The following is an 18,758-nucleotide window of genomic DNA, read 5'->3' as shown; positions in this document are numbered from 1 at the left end:
CTCTACTAAAAATACAAAAAAAAAAAAAAGAAAAAAAAAGAAATTAGCTGCTGTGCTGGTGGGTGCCTGTAATCCCAGCTACTTGGGAGACTGAGGCACAAGAATCACTTGAACCCGGGAGGTGGAGGTTGCAGTGAGCTGAGATTGTGCCACTGCACTCCAGCCTGGGTAACAGAGCAAGACTCCGTCTCAAAAAAAAAAAAAAAAAACAAAACAAAAAAAAACAAACTAAACTAAAAAAACAAAAACCTGAGTCTGTCCCCAGTGGTGGGAAAATGTCCCCTGACATCTTCCTCCTGAGCTGCTGAATCACTGAACAGGTCACATGCCTTAAGGCGGTTCATTCATTCAGCAGCTATTTACTGAGCAGCTATTATGTATTGGGGACTTGCCTAGGTACTGGGGAAAGAGCTGCAAATAAGACAGACAGAATGCCTGCCACCTGGATTCACATTCCTTGGGGGGACCGGCAATCCACACACACATAAATGACACACAAGCAACAAGTGAGCAGCACCTAGAGCAAGCAAAGGCCAGGAGGAGTGACAAGGGCTATGGTGAAAAGTCAAGCAGGCCGGGGAGAGGGGCTGCAACTTGAACCAAGCAGCCAGTGAGATGAAGAGACCTGCAGGAGGTAAGAGGTGAGCCGTGTGGACACCTAAGGGAAGAACATTCAGGCTGAGGGAACTGCACGTGCAAAGGGCCTGAGGCAGGGACGCTGCCTGGGCAGGCTCAGCACTTCACTGTGGCATTTATCAGACTGAAGTTAAACATTATTCCAGAGATTACTTACATGGCTTTTTTATTTTTAAGAGACAAGGTCTCGCTCTGTCACCCAGGTTAGAGTGCGGTGGTGCAATCATAGCTCACTGCAGCCTGGAACTCCTGGGCTCAAGTGATCCTCCTGCCTCGGCCTCCCGAGTAGCTAGGACTGCAGGCATGCACCATGATGCCCAGCTAAATGACTTATATCTTTGTCTTCTCACCAGGACCTTGTATTTGGTTGGTGTTCAATAAGTAAATGGGGAAAGATTGGTTGAATGAATGTGTTTAGAGGGAGAGGTTGGGGCTGGTGAAGTTGTCAGAGGCGCCCACCCTGCAGCATGACCAGCTCCTGCTGGAACAGATGACGCTGTTTCTAACCCCCTCCCCCACAGGCCCACTGTCTCCATTCATGCCGTGGAGGCCTTGCTGTGGGGTGGGTAGCAGTGAGGTGGGTGCTGTGATGGTCAGTAGGGACCCGGGGAGGTGGCTCAGGACTGCACACTGGAAGGAGGCTCCCTTCCCCGACCTTCCCAGGGGCCAGAGCTCTGCAGCTGCCTGCAGGTAGAGACCTTGGTGTGGACACTGGTGTCCTGGGATGGGGGCCCCAGGCAGCCTTCTCCAGAGCCTTGGGGTAGCAGGCACAGGCGAGTGAGAGCATAGTGGGAAGAGGGCAGGGAAGACACACAGTGGCTTCCAAGGACCCACGGTGACTTCCGAGGACCCACAGTGGCTTCTGAGGCTGGTTTGGAGGCCTAGGGGATCCCCCTTGGGAGACTCTAGAAATAACAGTGAAACCACGTCAGGAGGCACAGGTCCTGCTGGGTCACTGAATTTGGGGAAAAATTCAGGAAAGTGTGGCCTGAGATCCAGTGTCTCTGCATCCCACCATGCCCTCCTGGGGGTGCTGTGGGAGGACTAAGGAGGAAGGTGCAGATGAAATGACGGCCCACAGATGGGCTCACTGCTGAGGTGATGCCGACAGACCAGCACATGTGACTGTGTTCCAGGTGAGCCTGAAAGAGCTCCTGCCTCCATCGCTGGGGATGGGAACGCCCACCCCACCTGCCCCATGCACGCCACAGATAGCACGCAGCTGACGGCAAAGAAAGAGCAAGCCCCGTGTGTGCTAAGGGGCCTGGTCAAGATGCATTTAGTGGGAAAGAGACAGGTGCCGTGCAGAGCAAATGGCCTGTGCTCGAAGCGGGGAAGAGTAAACATCCATCTGTGCAGACCTCAGTGTCCCCAGCTGGAGGTGCTGCACGCCTCGGGAGAAGAGAATTGGAAGGGACAGGATGGGAGGGAGACTTTCCACGACAGTCTCCTGGATCCTATCAATACCTAGGGAATTGAAGCTGGGCTCATTCTCTGTGTTGAAATGCCACCACCGGGCCAGGCAAGGGGGCTCATGCCTGTAATCCCAGCTCTTAGGGAGGCAGAGGCGGGAAAACAGCTTGGGCCCAGGAGTTCAAAACCTGCCTGGGCAATATAGCGAGACCCCGTTCTAAAAAATAAAAATTGAAATGCCACCACCATTAGCAGCAGGAAGCTGATGTCTGAAGGCTGGATAGCTCAGAGGCTAGGGTGCAAAGCAGGGGATATGGAGTCCATCTCAGTGGGACCTATCTGTCCTCCCCCTTCTCACGAAGCCAACCATCCCAGCACCCACTTCTCCACCAAGAACAATGGTGCTCCCCCTCCTCTGGGAGCGGAAGGGCGCAGGGTGTGGTGGAGGCAGTCTGCAGCGCCCGGGTGCTAGGGGGGAGATCCGGGGAGGTCTCAAGTACTCTGTGGAAGACTGGGTGCAAGTGAGACTGGAAGTCACGCTAGGATGGTCTCCGTGTCAAGTGCAGCTGTGCTGGGGGAGGGGAGGAAGTTGCCAGGAGTCAGGACCCCTGTTTCCAACCCCCAGAGAGTTGCCACTCCAAAGCCGCCAGCAGTGTCTGTGTTGTAAGAGGGTGGGAGGATATGAAGTCATGCGGCCCCATCTGGGCCCCTCCCCAGCTGGCAGCCTCAGCCTCCACTCCCTGACCACGCTCCTGCCCTCCCGGCCTCCCTGCAGTTCCTCAGCGTAGCCGAGCATGTCCAACCTCCAGGCATTTGCACAGGCCACCACCTCCTCCGCAATGCTCTTCCCCTGTGCCTTACTGTGGGACCTCTCCCCAGGCTCTGCTGGCCCTGCCTCCCACCTGGCCCCTCCTGACCCTCCAGTATCCTACCTGCCCGTTTCCTTCACAGCCCTCCTCACACTCTGTAACTCAGTGCTGAGCAGTGAGTTCCCAGAGGACAGTAGCCACGCCCAGCTTCTCACTGCTTCCCTGCTGCTTCCCCCCACCCCCAGAGGAGCAGCTCAGGTGTCATTTGTGGAAAGAACAAAAGGAGACTCTTTGGGGCTTAATGCACTGTCATTTAGGGGGGAAATATTGAGTGGTTATGAGGCTTATCAAAGGGAGAGCCAGAGTCCAACCCAGGATGGAGAGTTTTAGAACAAAAAAAATAGGCCAGGCGCGGTGGCTCACGCCTGTAATCTCAGCACTTTGGGAGGCTGAGATGGGTGGATCACGAGGTCAGGAGATTGTAGACCAGCCTGGCTAACACGGTGAAACCCTGTCTCTACTAAAAATACAAAAAATTAGCCGGGCGTGGTGGCGGCGCCTGTAGTCCCAGCTACTCGGGAGGCTGAGGCAGGAGAATGATGTGAACCTGGGTGGCAGAGCCTGCAGTGAGCTGAGATGGCGCCACTGCACTCCAGCCTGCGCGACACAGCAAGACTCCGTCTCAAAAAAACAAAACAAAACAAAACAAAACAAAACAAAAAAACAAAAAGACTGCCCTGCATGATAAAAAGGGTTAAATTTGTTTTAGGGGCCAATGGAAGCAAGTTATATTTTCTTTCCTGTGGACTAACCCAGAGTGGGAAAGCCAGGGGCACCTGTAGAGCCTTGGCACAGAACCAACACTGGCTGAGAATGGTGAGAATATAAGTCCTTATAACAGTGTCTAAGCTGCTGGATTCAGTCATTCCTGCCAGAACTTTATAGCCGCATGAGCCAATCCAGTCCAACCATTCTCCAGGAAGGGTCAGCCAGTCCAGGTGGAGCTGTTCCCGGGTTCCCTACCAAATGACAGAAACCCCAAGTCAAACTGCTGGGGTGGACAGAATAATGACCCCAAGACATCCATGTCCTAATCTCTGGAACTCGTAAATAAGTCATATGGCAAAAGAACTTTGCAGATGTGATTAAGGTTATAAACCTCCAGATAGGGAGATGATGTCTGGATTATACAGGTGGGACCAATCTAATCCCATAAACCCGTGAAGGCAGCGAACTTTCTCCAGCTGGAGGCAGAGACCGGTGGGTAGCAAAAGGGAAGCTGCAGAGATTGAGTGTGAGAGGCGCTCACCTGCTGTTGCTGGTGGGGCCACGTGGAAAGTGCAGGAACGGTCCAGGCGCGGTGGCTCACGCCTGTAATCCCAGCACTTTGGGAGGCCGAGGTGGGTGGATCTCCTGAGGTCAGGAGTTCAAGACCAGCCTGGCCAACATGGCGAACTCCTGTCTCTACTAAAAATACAAAAATTAACCAGGCATGGTGGCGCACACCTGTAGTCCCAGTTACTTAGGAGGTTGAGGCAGGAGAATTGTTTGAACCCAGGAGGTGGAGGCAGTGAGCTGCAATGCCACCACTGCCCTCCAGCTTGAGTGACAGAGTGAGACTCCATCTTAACAAAAAAAAAAAAAAAAGAAAAGAAAAAGAAAAAGGAAAACGAAAGTGCAGGAAGGAACCTGGCAGTCCCCCAGGGCAAAGACCTGCCCCAGCTCCCAGCCAGCAAGGAAGGGAGACCTGAGTCCTACAAATGCAAGGAACTGAATTCAGCCAGCAACTGAATGAGGCTGGAAGTAGATTCTTCCCCAGAGCCACCAGTAAGTAATCCAGCACCACCAACACCTTGATTTCAGCCTCAAGAGACCTCAAGCCAAGGTCCCTTTTGGGGCATGACCTACAAAATTGTGACATAATGGATAAGTGGGGTTTTTTTTTGTTTTGTTTTTGTTTTTGTTTTTGTGTTTTTGAGACAGAGTTTTGCTCTTGTTGCCCAGGCTGGAGTACAATGGCACGATCTTGGTTCACCGCAACCTCCGCCTCCCAGGTTCAAGCAATTCTCCTGCCTCAGCCTCCTGAGTAGCTGGGACTACAGGCATGCACCATCACACCCTGCTAATTTTGTATTTCTAGTAGTGATGGGGTTTCTCCATGTTGGTCAGGCTGGTCTCAAACTCCCGACCTCAGGTGATCTGCCTGCCTTGGCCTCCCAAAGTGCTGGGATTACAGGCGTGAGCCACCATGCCTGGCCAGATAAGTGTTTTTTTAAGCCACTAAGTTGGTGATAAGTTGATAATAGAAAATCAAGACACTAGTTTAATGAAAAAAGAGAACTGACTTGCTCTCTCACTGGTCTGGCTTCAGGAATGGCTGGATCCAGCAGCTTAAACACTGTCACCGGGACTTGGTTTCTCTGTTTCCCACACCTGCTATCCCCCAAACTAGCCTCATGCTCAGGGTCCATAGGGTCATCCTGGCAGCTTCAGACTCTAACCCCCCAGGTTAATGTCCATGGAAAAGGGGTCCTGCCTCTCTCCCAGCCACCCCAGCATAAACTTTATGGTATCTCATTGGCTCTAACTGGATGATGTGCCCATTCCTGAGTTCATTACTGAGGCCAGTGGCATCCAATGTTCTTATTGGCCAGGCCTGGGCCTCACGCCCACCCCCATAGGGCCAGGGGTAGAACTGGACTCACCTGAGACCCAGGGACCTGGAGTAGAGAAGGGAGAGTTCCCCCAAGGAAAACCTGGGCACAGTTCCAGGCTGTCTGGTAATTGGCCTCGGAAGCCCCAGTGCAGAGGGCCAGGGAGTCTATTCTCGAATTTTCCTTGTCTTACTTTCCGGAGGGAAGGCACTCTGTGAGGTGACCTGGGTGGAGCAGCACCCCCATAATCGGACACTGCACCCCATCCCCCACTGTGCCTTTAGCCGAGCCTGCCACAGTCTCCTGTCCCAGGGCCACATTTCCAAAATTGTACACTAGCAAGCAGGAAACCTTTGCTCCTTGGAAGCATGCTTTGCTGAGAATCAGAGTAAATAAACTGGTATTTATACCACGACCCCACGGGGTGGCTGTTTTTCTCTGAGGCAAATATGGTCAAAATTGAACCTTGTGGCCCTTGAAGGAGAGCAAGGCTGTCCCAAGAGGATCTCAGAGGGAGGCCTCCACATCCTACCCTCGCACGGGCATCTCTGAACTCTACTGGAAGACTCCCCAGGAGCAGGGAACAGGGGAGGGGGCCTGGCTGCACCCCCACAGGCCTTTCCCAGGGCAGCTCCAGGCAGGGCCCAAGTCTGTGTCTGCAGCATTCCTATCCCCCAGTGCACTGTCTCATGAGGACTCACCCGACGCAGGTGACTGTGGGTGGCAGATGCTGCTTCGGCTGACTTTGAAGCTTGGAAGGTCGTTTAATTTAAATTCTCTAGAATTCACATGAGCAGCAACTATTGTAAGTTCCCTACTTTGTGCCAGACACTGGACGGGCGGCTGGGCACTGTCATGGATGGGTCGGAAACACCCTTGCCTCCTGAGTTCACGTTCAGGAAGGAGGCAGATGTTAAAATGAGCAAATGAATAAATGCACTGAGTGGCACAAACCCTGAGAAGCGCTTGGAGGAGGCAGGCAGTGTCAGAGGGTGGGTGGAGGAGGGCACTACATCAACACCTGCAGGGAGGTGCTCCAGGCAGTGGACACGGTATGTGCGAAGGCCCCGCGGTGGGAAGGAGTTTCAGCAGGGCCACCTGTGCACTCAGGACTCCTCATGCATCATTCCTTCCGCAGACATTTATTGAGTGCCAAGTGCATGCCAGGCAGGGTGCCGGGCACTGGAGTGACAATGGTGGTGAGCAGAGCCTGGCCTGGCCCTGAGCCCCTGGAGCTCACAGTCTAGCAGGGCAGACAGACCCCAATCACATCACCCTGGAACCTCTTTCGTTTCTGGTGAGTATTGGCTGGAGAAGCGCTGGACACGGCCCCGTGGCGGTTTCCCTGGCCTCTCCATGGCATCTCCTCTCTCCGAGGAGGCGGCCCCTCCTGGAAGGACCAGCTTCAGGGTGAGGTTAGGGGCAGCACGGCTCCCGGGCCACCTCCCGCAGAGTGCAACCTGGCTGGGTCAGCGGCTCTGGAAGGAGCTGGGACCAGGGCTGTTTCCTTCCCTCCAGAGCCCCACACAGGGTGGGTCCCAGCTAGGGATCATCTTCCCCTCTCCTCCACCTGCACTCATTCCACAGGCAGTCTCTGCCGGCTGAGGGTGGTGACAACCTCTGTTTGCTGGAGATGCCTGGAGTGGTCTCTGGGGGCTCTCTCTCCCCTCAGCACACCGGAGGGCTGCACCTCCCGCCCTTAGGAGGTGAGGTTTGGCCGTATGACTGGCTCTGATAACACGTGGGCTGAGTGACATGAGTGCTTTACTTCTAGGCAGAGGCACAAAGGCCACTGTGTGCCTTCCCTCCACCATCATGACCACGTTGTTCCCTTCAGCCCCAGCTCAGCCTGTCCGGGGTCCTGCTCTGAGGGCCACAGTGACACGGAATGGCCTCCAGCTTCCACAGGCGTGTCCTGGATGAGAACCAGCTTGTGTGCTTTCAGCCACTGGGCCCTGGGGGTTTGCTTGTGGCAGCATCACCCATCCGTCCCGCTCAATGCAGCGCCCTCGGCCCCTGTAGCCTGCACCCTCCCAGAGCCCAGCTCATGCTCCAGGCACCGCCTGCTGCCCACCAGCCCACACTCAACACGGCACAACCGGACTCCCAGTTTCCCGCCCCCAGCACCCTGCTGCTCACGTGAACTTGGCTGAGTTCTTCCCCAGTTTGGTAAAACTGGAAGTCAAGGCTTCTAGTGTAGCCTGGGGGCACCGCCGGGTGGCTCACTCCCTGCTTCGGGATGCGCCTGCCCCTGGTCACCTCCAACCCAGTATTCCTGCCAAGTGGAGACTTTGGGGACAAACAGGGAGAAGAATGAAGCACCCCGCCATGCACACCATCCAAAATAAAAGAGATATTAAGCTATACATACGCATAGGGAAGGCCCACAGAATTCTGATTTTCCCATGGTGACTTCAGTTGCTTTTTTTTTGAAATATTCTATGGATTTGTCTATTCTGGACATTTCATAAGAATGTCCATGCAAGATGTGCTGTTGGGTGTTTGGCTTCGTTTATTTTGCAACAGGTTTTCAAAGTTCATCCATGTTGTGGTGTGTGCCGGTCCTTCATTTCTTTTTACGGCTAATAATTTTCCATTGCGTGGATATGCCAGTTTGTGGATCCATTCTTCAACTGGGGAACATTTAGGTTGTTTTCACTTTTTGGATATTACAAACAGTGCTGTTAAGAACCTTTCTGTCATCAAAACCACAATGAGACACCATCTCACACCAGTTAGAATGGCGATCATTAAAAAGTCAGGAAACAACAGATGCTGGAGAGGATGTGGAGAAACAGGAATGCTTTTACACTGTTGGTGGAAGTGTAAATTAGTTCAGCCATTGTGGAAGACAGTGTGGCGATTCCTCAAGGATCTAGAGCTAGAAGTACCATTTGACCCAGCCATCCCATTACTGGGTATACACCCAAAGGATTATAAATCATGCTACTATAAAGACACATGCACACGTATGTTTATTGTGGCACTATTCACAATAGCAAAGACTTGGAACCAACCCAAATGTCCATCAATGATAGACTGGATTAAGAAAATGTGGCACATATACACCATGGAATACTATGCAGGCATAAAAAAGGATGAGTTCATGTCCTTTGCAGGGGCATGGATGAAGCTGGAGACCATCATTCTGAGCAAACTATCACAAGGACAGAAAACCAAACATCGCATGTTCTCACTCATAGGTGGGAACCAAACAGTAAGAACGCTTGGACACAGGGCAGGGAACATCACACACACCGGGACCTGTTGGGGGCTGGGGTGCTGAGGGAGGGATAGCATTAGGAGAGATACCTAATGTAAATGACAAGTTAATGGGTGCAGCAAACCAACACGGCACATGTATACATATGTAACAAACCTGCACATTGTGCACACGTACCCTAGAACTTAAAGTATAAAACAAACAAACAAACAAACAAACAAAAGAACCTTTGTGTCCAAGTTTTGGTGTGGAAGCTTTTATTTCTCTTGGGTTTTTTGAGGAGTGGACTCTCTGGGTCACATGGTAGCTCTCTCTGTTTAATCATTTGAAGAACCTGCCAGCTTGTTTTTTCTATTTTCCATTCCCAGCAGCAGTGTGTGTGGGGGTCCAGTTCCCCCACATCCTCGCCAGCACCTGAGTTTCTCTGACTTTTTCATCCCATCCTAGTGAATGCGAAGTGGTAGCTCATCTCTTTCCTTTGATTTGTGTTTAGTGTTATTCTTTTAAACCAGTTTACCTTATAATAAAATTCAGCCCCACATTGTACTCTGCGGAGGATTTTGGAGCCCTGTAAAGTAAGAGGAAGGGGCTCCCAACCCCCTACTCTAACCAGCTGTAACCCAAGGGGATTAACAAAAAACATATTTTACACTGACCCATCAAAACCCTGAAAGGAAAACAAACGTGAATTCTTCATCCAACTACAGACAGCAGAGTCTGTTTTCACTGCCGAAGAAACTAAACAGAAAAGTAAAGAAAAAATAGAAACATTTTAAAAAGAAAAGAAACTAAACACAGAGCTTCTTTTATTCTCAGGCCAGGCTTTGCCTTAGTATCAGTCAGAAGCGCTTAAAAAAATACTCATGCCAGGCGCTTCTCCCAAAGACTGGGTTCCGGGTGGGGCACAGGCAGCATTGCTTTTAGCAGCTCCTGCAGCTCAGTTCTCAGGTGCAGCCAGGGCTGGAAGCCCTGATAACAGGATTGCTCTGCGGCAGGGCTGCAAGGAGCCTTCTCAGGTCATGGTCACGAAGATGCGGCTGTGGCTTTGGGCGGGGTCTGAGAGTCCGGTCGAGGTTGGAGGCAGTGAGCAAGGGGATGCTATTGGTATTAACACCAGTCCAGCGAGATCCCAAGATCCTCAGAGCTGGGGGTGGGGAGGTGGGGAACCCATCGAGTCTCCCGAGCGATTAACCAGCTCAACACAAAGGGCCCGGAAGCAGAGAGGGCACTTTCTCAGGGCAGGGTTGATAGGACCGTAGCAGCAGCACGGATCCTAATAAAGGTGGGCCCACCTTCAACTTCTCCCTCAAACCTGGCCCTAAGTGCTTGTTCTACTTCGTGTTCTAGGAGGCACTACAAAGTATTATTATTTCCTTTCTATTAATGAGGAAACTGAGGATCAGAGAAGGTGAGTGACTTACCTAAGGTCACACAGCTTGTCAGGAAAGAAACTCAGATTCACATTCAGGTCTGATTCCAAACACTTGAATTATTAACCCTTGTGCTAGATCATCCCCTGAGGCAAAGCTAACTCTGCTGGAGTAGAAGGGCTGGCACATGCCACAACATGGATGAACTTTGAAAACCTGATGCAAAATAAAAGAAGCCAAACCCCCAAGATCACATATTGCATGGACATTCTTAAGAAATGTCCAGAATAGGCAAATCCATAGAATGTGGATTATTATTCTATTATTATTATTATCTAGTATTATTATTTCCTTTCTAATAATGAGGAAACTGAAGATCAGAGAAGGTGAGTGACTTACCTAAGGTCACACAGCTTGTCAGGAAAGAAACTCAGATTCACATTCAGGTCTGATTCCAAACACTTGAATGATTAACCCTTGTACCAGACCATCCCCTGAGGCAAAGCTAACTCTGCTGGAGTAGGGACCAAGGTTGAAGATATCTCTATCTTTCCATTCATCCCCCCATCCATCCCTTCCTTTATCCATCACTCCCTCCCTCCCTCCATTTCATCTTCCATCAATCCTCCCAATCACCCTCCCTCCCTCCATCCATTCCCCATCCATTTCTCCATTCATGTATCCATCAATCCTCCCATTCACACTCCTTCCCTCTATCCGTTTCTCCATTCATCTGTCCATCAATCCTCCCATTCACCCTCCCTCCCTCCATCCATTCCCCAACCATTTCTCCATGCATATATCCATCTATCCTCCCATTCACCCTCCATCCATACATCTCTATCCATTCCTCCACCCATTCTTTTTCCCTTTCTTCAGTCCCTCCCTCCCTCCATCTGTCACATAATTGCATAACTGTCCTCTAGAAAGACGTCAAGGGGGATAAAGCACGTGTGTACACGGTTCCTGCTTCCTCCTCTACTTGGCTCTCCTGTGACTCCTAACCGACAAGTTAAAATGCCTGCCAGGGTTCAATGAGAGGCACAGTAAAGATTGGTGGGGACTGGAGCAAACTGGAGAGCACGGGTGTCACTGCTGCTGTGAGGAACTCTGGGCCCAGCATTGTGAGAAGCTTCTGTTCATGGTGGCTTTTTTCCTTCCACCGTACTCTGTGGCCATCTCTCCGTGTCGGGAAATAGACTTCCACAGTATCATTCTTAGTGGCTCTGTGGCCTTTCTCCCTGTGGCCACACCAGAATACAGGTCATTGTCTCCTCCCATGGAGACCCCAGCTGCAGGTTAGGAGGGCAGCTTTGGCATCAGATCCCCCGGGGTTTGGAGCCCAGCTCTGCCAGCTACTCACTGTGTGACCCTGGGAAAACTCCCTGACTAGCCTGAGCCTCAGTGTCTGCATCTATAAAGTGGGTTGTTGTGTGGATTTGATGAGCCCATGCTGCTGAGTGGTGGGCACAGGGCCTGGCACAAGCCCAGTGCTGGATAAGTTCAGGCTTCTCTGCCCTGCCCACCCTGAGGATGAGGACTACAGCTCCCCACGCCCCCGGTTACCTTGCAGGCTTTTGCTAAACCTCAGCTTGAGATTCAGGACTGTGGCCTTCATGGGCCACACCTCCACCTAGGCCTGTGGGAGCCAAGCAGCCTTTGGTGACGTTCCGCTCTCCCGTGGTTCAGGAGGGCTTGTGCTTGCAAGCTGGGCAGAGGCTGTCCACACCTGCGCAGGGCGAGCCATCCCAGGGCACGCTGGCTGCTGGGGAGCACGGTCCTGCCACTGCGTGGGAGGGTAGGAACCCCAGGCTCAGCCCATTTCCCAGGAGCGAGGTTGTCAGGCCCAGGGAGGAGGAAGAAGAGGCAGCCCAGACTCATGCCTAGGACGCTCTGAGGCCAGGCCCTTATCCCAGAGACAGCTGCTTGGAAAGAAAAACAAATGAGAGAACAAGGATGGGGTTGGAGGTGATAGCTTAGATAGGGAGGTCCCAGAAGGCATCTCCAAGGCTGACATTTGAGTTAGGGTTCAGGGACAACAAGGAGAGAGTGACTCCCTCCATCTCTCTCTCTCTCTCTCAGGATCAGACAGGTGGCAGGGCCAGTTCGCCCTGGCCGTGGAGGCTGTGCAAGGAAGTGGGATTTAGTGGAGAGTCACAGAGGGCTTGTATTGTGTGATTGTGTGTGTGCCGGGAAACTGGGTTCTGAGTCACACGGTTGAAGACAGAGCGGGTTCCCATAGACAAGCGCCTGGACCCCAACCCCACCCCGCTGCAGGCTCAGGCCTATCAGAGAAACCCAGAAAGTCAGCAGAAGAGAGGGGCACAGACACCACCCACTGGAACCTCTGGAGCGTCTGGAGTGCGCACACACAGATGCAAGAGCAAATGACCAAACGCCAAGCCTCATTCGCTGGCTTTCATTTCTCAGCTGTGAAAAATAGAGAGCCGTGTTAAGAAAAAATAAAAGCCTCCTGTCCTCCTACGACCATTAACACCTGGTCTCTTTCCTTCCACTCCTTTTTATACACATATGCAGATTATTTTAATAAATTAAAGGAAATAGTCACATTTTCCCCCCAACAGTCTTAATTTTATAATTTAGAAAAAAAGATCTTTATTTTAATTTCTCTAAAAACGCCCCCATCACTGGAGCAGGGAGCCAGCAGGAGGCACCCGGGAACCCTCTGAGTTGTTTCTGCTGCACCAGGCTCAGCTGTCTGGTGGGCCGGGCTGTGGGCGGAGGGTGGTTCACCCCATCATGATCTCCAGGCCACCGTGCACCCCAATGTGTACACCAGGACTTGAGGCGGGAGCAGGCAGGGCAACGGGGCTGATAAGCAGAGCCAGACACTTATCGGCCCCTGCGGGAGGCCCAGGAGGTATCTGGAAGCCCAGGTGCCCACCCCAGGCTGTGCCCTATGCAACACCCAGCCTCGGGGCACGCTGGAGAGCTGCCCCTGTTATTCGCTCAGCATCTGGAGGGCTCCCAACCTCCTGCCCAGGGGGCTCCTGGTTGGATGTTTACGTCTCTGGGGAACAAACACAAGTGTGACTCAGCAGCCAGGGCAGGGGTGGGGAGGACGCCCGGCTGACTTTGGCTGAGGAAGGTGGAGGATGGGTGCGGTGGCCAGAACCCAGTCCTCAGGGTGCAGCGGCGTGTGGCTCCAGGTTCAGGATGCATGGGTCCAACCCCCAGCTCTGCCCTGGCCCTGCCACTGTCCAGCTCTCTGGCCTGGAGCAGGCGGCCAAATCTGCTCAGCTTTGGTTTTCCCATCTGTGAAATGGGCACAGTCAACTTCTCACAGGCTGCTGGGAGAGTTTAGGGAAATGACAGGTGTAAAGCCATGGCAGGTCTCCAATAAATGCCAGTTTTCATGCATTCTGGGGCTTTGAGGACAACCTCGGTTCCAGAGGTGGGGAGACTGAAGCAGGAGGGTTTGTCTTGTTGGATTGGCAGCATGGGTCCGTCATCCTCAGGCAGCACCCTGAAAAACAGCGGGTGGCCTTCCAGGAATCAGGGGTCTTCTCAAACCCACCCTCCATCGCTTCGCTTACCCTGCTAGCAGTGGGGGCTGAGGGCTCCCTGAGGGGCGCCTACTCCACACCAGGGCTGCACGGGGCACCTTACCTAACTCATCCCCTGTAATCCCGGCCACAGCCCTGGGAGGCAGGACCTTGGTTATTAACCCATTTCTAGGTGATGTAACCGTGGCTCAGTCAGTCACCTGAGGTGGCCGGAACATCCGGGCTCAGTCAATCGCCTGAGGTGGCCCAAGCATCCAGCCCCTCCTGCTGCCCCTTGTTGGCCCTGCCTGCAGCTGGCCCAGGCTGGGGGTCTGCACCCCTGAAGGAGGCATGGGTGGGGCTTAGGAGACAGGACTGAGCCCTGGTCAAGGTGTTCCACGCAAGCTCCCCAGAGGCCACATAGCCAAAGACCAACAACACAGGCTTTGGAGGCAGACCGACCCGGGCCCGAAGCCTGGATGGGTCAGCTATTCCTCACCAGGCCACCTCCCCGCTCTGAGCCTGTCTTCCCCTCTGTAAAATGGGACCATGACTCCACTCCTCGTGGGAGGATGCTAAGGAGAAGGAACCAAGCCAGCACACTGGAGCACATCAGAGGGCACCTCCTGGTGGCCCCAGGCCCAGCTCCCACTCAAGGACCATGAATGCGAAGGCACCTTGGGCCGCCGGTCCTGTAGGAACGTGGGCAGCCATGTCCGATGAGAACTGTTTGCCAAACTTCCAACACCTCACTGAGGCAGAAGCTCGAGCTGTCCTCCTGGAACTGCCCCTAAGGAACCAGGTGACCTCAGGCCATGTGCAGTGAGCGCTCTGAGCCGCGATCTCCCCCTGGGTGAAATGGGCATAAGGATAGACCCAGCGCACCCCACTGGTGTGAAGGTAAAGAGGTAACAGGCTTGGTCAGTAACAGTCTCCATAAAGCACGTATGAATGGGACATGACTCTCATGGACTCAAAGCTTACTGCTGGAAGGACCTGAGGCAGAAACTGCAAGTTGTCTGCATAAGGACATTCCCGTGTCTTCCTTGGTAGCAGAAGGCTTTCTGTGTTCCAGGTAGCTATATCCCCAGCTAAACACCGACATTCCCCACCATCCCTTGCAGTTAAGTATGGCCATGTGACTAAGTTCTGGCCAACGAAATGGAAGAGGAATGTTGTGTGCAACTTCTGGGAAGTCTCCTCGAGAAGTCTCGGCTTGAGATACTCTAGCCTTCCCCTTTCTTTCTTCTGCTGCCTGGCACTTGAACATGATGGCTGGAGCTCCAGCAGCCATCTTGGTCCCCAAGATGGTCTTAAGGAAGGAAGCCATGCATTGAAATGGTTCACTGGGATGATGGAAGGGGCCTAAGCTCCTGATGACTGTGGAGCTGTCATCCAAGTCCTGGACTGCCTGCTTCAGACTTATTTTACATGAGAAAAATAAATGCATTACAGGTAGCTAAGAACCACCCTAATTTTGGACTTTCTATTGCAGTTGCTGAACCTAATTCTAAGTAATGCCAGCCCTTTGAGGTTGTATATGTCCAGAGTCTTGGTTGCCAGGGACAAAAAAATCAAATCAAATAGGCTTAAGTAAAAGGGGGAAAGTATTAGCTCTCAAATTAAAAAGGTCCAGGATCTAACTTCAGGCATAGCTGGATCAAAAGCCCCCAGAGATGTCCCCAAGACCCTATCTCTGCTCCTCTCTCCTCCTCAGCTCTCCTTTCTCCTGGGCTGGCTTCCTTCTCAGGCAGCCTCTCCATAAGCACAAACTCCTCTCTGCCCCCAGCTGCTTCAGGCTTATCTGCTCCCAGCTTGGCTTCCTCAGCAGAGGGACAGCTTTCCTCCCCCAGGAGGACTGACTCGCATGGACCCACACTGGGTCACACGTCTATCCCTGAACCATTCTGAGGGTCCAGGGGAGTAGAATATGCTGACTATTTGAGCTGCAGAGCCAGGGGTAGAGGTGGCTCCATTGAACCACCTGGCCTGAGGGTGGTGCGGGGGCAGCTCCCTAAGGAAAAGCAGGTGCTGTCACCAGGAAGGGAGTGGATGCTGGGCCGGCAGGACCTGCGGGGCTACCCAGGGGTCAGCTCAATGCATGCAGGGAAGAAGGTGAGGTTCAAGGAGGATGGCAACCAGGCAAGCTCCCCACCAGGGCAGAGCAGAGCAAGCCAGGGCTGTGACACGGAGGTGACCTCACCATTGTGTGGCTTCTTCTCGTGGGCTGCGGTGGCTGTGGTTCCCACACCTTGTCCCAGCCCAGTCCCTCTGTGATTACACCCCCAGAAGGGGAGTGACAGCCCAATGGCCTTGGAGAGCCCCTTTTTCCTCTCTGGGCCTCAGTTTGCTCAACTGGAAAGTGGCATGAAAATGGGGCTCTAAGGGAAGCACCTCTCACTCACCACTGCCCCTCCCCAGCAAGAAGTCTCCAAATCAATGCCATGGGGCGGGGTGGGGTCTCAGGCCCCTCTGGATCCTGCGTGCCTCTCCCAGCCCCCAGCTGGCTCACACAGCAGCCACGTGCCCCGGAAGTTGCGCTCAGCCTCTGCTCCCAGGCCTGGTCCTCTTGCCTGCTTGGAGGGTGACAGCTCAGAGGTGGATCAACCTGTGGGCAAAGCCCGCCTAGTGGGATGGCCCTGGCTGCACTGCTGAGGCTCTCTGGGCTTTGTCAGCTCCTTGAAGAAGGGGAAGCAGGCGCTTCTCCAGGCCCCACAGGACTTGGGCACCCCACTCCCGGGGACGTTGAGTGCCTGGCCCACGCTGCCGTCGTTGAGGTCTCTCACGGCCGTCTCAGCTGGGTGTGCAAACCCCACAGGCAGCTGCTTCAGGAGGGGATCCCTGGAAGCACAGCAGGGGATCGAGGACGTGAGGCAGTGAAGAGAAGGGGGAGTCATGGACTCAGGGCACCAGCGCAGGGCACACACCCCAGAGTGACTGCCGAGGGTGGCAAGGGAGGGGCGTCTATCCCCTAACTGCCCTCTGGCCTGCTGAGGGCTGCCCTGGGGTGTTAGCTCCCCGGCCCTTCCTGCCTGCCTGTGCACTGGCCGAGCCTGGGCCAATGTCCAGACAGAAACCTTTTCGAGGACTAGGGGGCTGGCAATGAGCGGTCTTCCCCCGCGCCAAAGGACACTGGCAGCCAACATCTGCCGCCCAGCCAAGTGAGCGGCCAGGTACGGCAACTCCCTCACTGTGCCCGTCTCTTCTCCCCCCGAGTCCTCCGGCCTGGACCTGCTCCACTTCCCTCTCTCCCAAGCCAATGAACCCTCAAAACCATGGCTGCTGCCCCCCGCAACACCCTCACTTGTTGTGGAGCCAAACGATGGGGGTGGGTCTTGTACTGTCACTCAACACGTGTGTGCACATGTGTGTCTGGGTGCACATATGTGTGTATCTTTGTGTAGGTACATGGGGTGTGTGCACGTCTATCTCCACATGTATATATGTGTGTGCACATCTGTGTGTGCCTTGAAGGTAATTTTGTGTGCAAGCGTATCTCCGTGTGCATGTGCATGTACTGTGTGGGAGCCAGGGTGTGTACGTGTGTATGTGTGATGGTGTGTCTGAGTGTGTGTCTGTTTCTCTGTGTGCATGTATCTCTGAATATCGAGTGGGAGTGTGTGTGTAGCACATACATGTTTGTGCTAATGTGTCTGTGGATGCATGTCCATGTGGATATGTGTATCTATGCACAGGTATGCCTGTATCAGTGTGTGTGTGTGTGTCTATGTGTCTGTGCATATGGGGGTCTGGGATAATGTGTGTTAACGTGTATACATACACAAACATACATCTGCATGCATGTGTGTATGACATCTGGCCCTCTGGGCACAGGCCTGTGCCGGCTGCTAGGAACACAGTGGGTAGGACAGAAAGTCCCTGCCTTGGGAGGACACTTGCGACCGTCTTGCACAGTGAGGCTCAAGGCCGGGGAGGACCTGGCTGGGCTCAGCCTGCATGTCTGGGCACACCCCGGCCACCTCAATCAGGCCCACGCCCTTCAGCTCCAGGCAAGCCCCTCTCACCGCATCTCTTGGGGGCCCAGGCAATGTGGGCTCCACTCCTAAGCATCTTAGTTCACCGGTCTGATAATGGAGATACCTGGAGGGTAACTGAGACCATCCATGAAAGTGCGTGGCACAGCGTGGGGACCTGAGTCAGTGGCGGCAGATGTTGGTGCTGCAGTGCTGGGGTTTATGACCCTTGTTGCTGGGGCTGGTGGCCGCGCTCTGCATCCCTGCTGCCCTCAGCCGGCCCCTCTCCCCACCCAACTCGGTGACTTAGAAATTCCCTCTCCTGGGTTTGTCACTATCCAGAGCCTTCAATCCTGGGACCCAGGAGATGTTTTCAAGGCCTCAGGGCCTTCCCGAAGGCCTGTCCCAGAGGCTGTCACCAGCTGATAGTGACAGGAAACTTGCAGGCTGCGAGTGGCCTTCACGATAACCCTGGCAGTACCCGTAGCCCCCCTCCGTGGATCCCCAAGTTCTTATCAGCTGCAGCAAGTCTCCTCCTCCGGGCTGAAAGCCCCATGCTGCCCTCCCTGACCCCTCACAAGCGTTTGCAAACTGAGACAGTGGGAGGGAGGGGCCAGCCGGCAGGGCCTGGGAAGAAGTGCAGACCCCCACAGAATCCCTATCCCCTCCCTGCCGTAAACCTGTCAGTCTCCATCACCCTGGGGCATTGTTGTGTCTCCCCCAGCAGATGATAAACCCAAAGGGCAGCCCTGTCTGCTCTATCCCCAGCGCTTTGCGTGTGACCCAGCACACGTCTCGGGATGACACAGTGAGTGAGCAATTCAAGGAAGGAGTTGATGGATTCTCCAGCCCTGACACCTCCTCTATGAAGGCCTTGTGATTTCCCCAGCTCTGAGTTCCAGATGCTGGGACTATCCAGCCCCAGACCAAGGCTTCCCTCCCAACTCTACCCTAAGGGCAGCTGTCCTGGACACCTGCCAACGTCCTCTCAGGAACCCACATTCAGGGTCTTCTGGTGGCAACCCCCCTTCTCTGGGGGAACTGTCCTCCTATTCCACAGGGATCTGGTGGGGCTGCCAATCACAATCCACGTCCAGGCCCCTCCCCAGCCACAGCGCCAAGAAGTAACCCAAGCGCAGTCCTCTCCGGGTCTGAAGCTGATGCTGGATGATG

The 18,758-nt window shown here is 53.8% G+C and overlaps 12 annotated features.

Moving 5' to 3' along the window:
- Window positions 12,077-12,845: an enhancer, noted in NCBI's record as "H3K27ac-H3K4me1 hESC enhancer chr20:55990515-55991283 (GRCh37/hg19 assembly coordinates)". NCBI's record gives its function as "activates a minimal SCP1, AML or CMV promoter by ChIP-STARR-seq in naive H9 embryonic stem cells {active_cell/tissue: H9 hESC(naive)}" and the evidence as "EXISTENCE:reporter gene assay evidence [ECO:0000049][PMID:30033119]".
- Window positions 12,846-13,613: an enhancer, noted in NCBI's record as "H3K4me1 hESC enhancer chr20:55989747-55990514 (GRCh37/hg19 assembly coordinates)". NCBI's record gives its function as "activates a minimal SCP1, AML or CMV promoter by ChIP-STARR-seq in naive H9 embryonic stem cells {active_cell/tissue: H9 hESC(naive)}" and the evidence as "EXISTENCE:reporter gene assay evidence [ECO:0000049][PMID:30033119]".
- Window positions 12,907-13,051: an enhancer, noted in NCBI's record as "oligo 20:55990405:T:C used in the MPRA construct". NCBI's record gives its function as "activates a minimal TATA promoter by MPRA in K562 erythroleukemia cells, with higher activity for rs737092 T versus C constructs {active_cell/tissue: K562}" and the evidence as "EXISTENCE:reporter gene assay evidence [ECO:0000049][PMID:27259154]".
- Window positions 12,944-12,963: a transcriptional cis regulatory region, noted in NCBI's record as "range of bases deleted by CRISPR/Cas-9 editing among clones D1 and D2". NCBI's record gives its function as "positively regulates RAE1 and RBM38 gene expression in K562 erythroleukemia cells {active_cell/tissue: K562}" and the evidence as "EXISTENCE:mutant phenotype evidence [ECO:0000015][PMID:27259154]".
- Window position 12,955: a transcriptional cis regulatory region, noted in NCBI's record as "MPRA functional variant 20:55990405:T:C corresponding to rs737092". NCBI's record gives its function as "higher enhancer activity for the T versus C allele by MPRA in K562 erythroleukemia cells {active_cell/tissue: K562}" and the evidence as "EXISTENCE:reporter gene assay evidence [ECO:0000049][PMID:27259154]".
- Window positions 12,957-13,251: an enhancer, noted in NCBI's record as "tiled region #4494; HepG2 Activating non-DNase unmatched - State 20:ReprD". NCBI's record gives its function as "activates a minimal TATA promoter and a strong SV40 promoter by Sharpr-MPRA in HepG2 cells {active_cell/tissue: HepG2}" and the evidence as "EXISTENCE:reporter gene assay evidence [ECO:0000049][PMID:27701403]".
- Window positions 13,614-14,383: an enhancer, noted in NCBI's record as "H3K4me1 hESC enhancer chr20:55988977-55989746 (GRCh37/hg19 assembly coordinates)". NCBI's record gives its function as "activates a minimal SCP1, AML or CMV promoter by ChIP-STARR-seq in naive H9 embryonic stem cells {active_cell/tissue: H9 hESC(naive)}" and the evidence as "EXISTENCE:reporter gene assay evidence [ECO:0000049][PMID:30033119]".
- Window positions 15,906-15,955: an enhancer, noted in NCBI's record as "active region_18152". NCBI's record gives its function as "activates an Ori minimal core promoter by ATAC-STARR-seq in GM12878 lymphoblastoid cells {active_cell/tissue: GM12878}" and the evidence as "EXISTENCE:reporter gene assay evidence [ECO:0000049][PMID:35858748]".
- Window positions 16,056-16,185: an enhancer, noted in NCBI's record as "active region_18151". NCBI's record gives its function as "activates an Ori minimal core promoter by ATAC-STARR-seq in GM12878 lymphoblastoid cells {active_cell/tissue: GM12878}" and the evidence as "EXISTENCE:reporter gene assay evidence [ECO:0000049][PMID:35858748]".
- Window positions 17,665-17,794: an enhancer, noted in NCBI's record as "active region_18150". NCBI's record gives its function as "activates an Ori minimal core promoter by ATAC-STARR-seq in GM12878 lymphoblastoid cells {active_cell/tissue: GM12878}" and the evidence as "EXISTENCE:reporter gene assay evidence [ECO:0000049][PMID:35858748]".
- Window positions 17,990-18,159: a silencer, noted in NCBI's record as "fragment chr20:55985201-55985370 (GRCh37/hg19 assembly coordinates)". NCBI's record gives its function as "represses an EF-1alpha promoter that drives an FKBP-Casp9 reporter gene in an ReSE screen in HepG2 liver carcinoma cells {active_cell/tissue: HepG2}" and the evidence as "EXISTENCE:reporter gene assay evidence [ECO:0000049][PMID:32094911]".
- Window positions 18,505-18,664: an enhancer, noted in NCBI's record as "active region_18149". NCBI's record gives its function as "activates an Ori minimal core promoter by ATAC-STARR-seq in GM12878 lymphoblastoid cells {active_cell/tissue: GM12878}" and the evidence as "EXISTENCE:reporter gene assay evidence [ECO:0000049][PMID:35858748]".

This window comes from Homo sapiens, chromosome 20 (genome assembly GCF_000001405.40).
Source record: "Homo sapiens chromosome 20, GRCh38.p14 Primary Assembly".
Classification (NCBI taxonomy): Eukaryota; Metazoa; Chordata; class Mammalia; order Primates; family Hominidae; genus Homo; species Homo sapiens.
The sequence above is the reverse complement of the archived record's forward strand: the minus strand, read 5'-3'. Positions and strand labels throughout refer to the sequence as shown.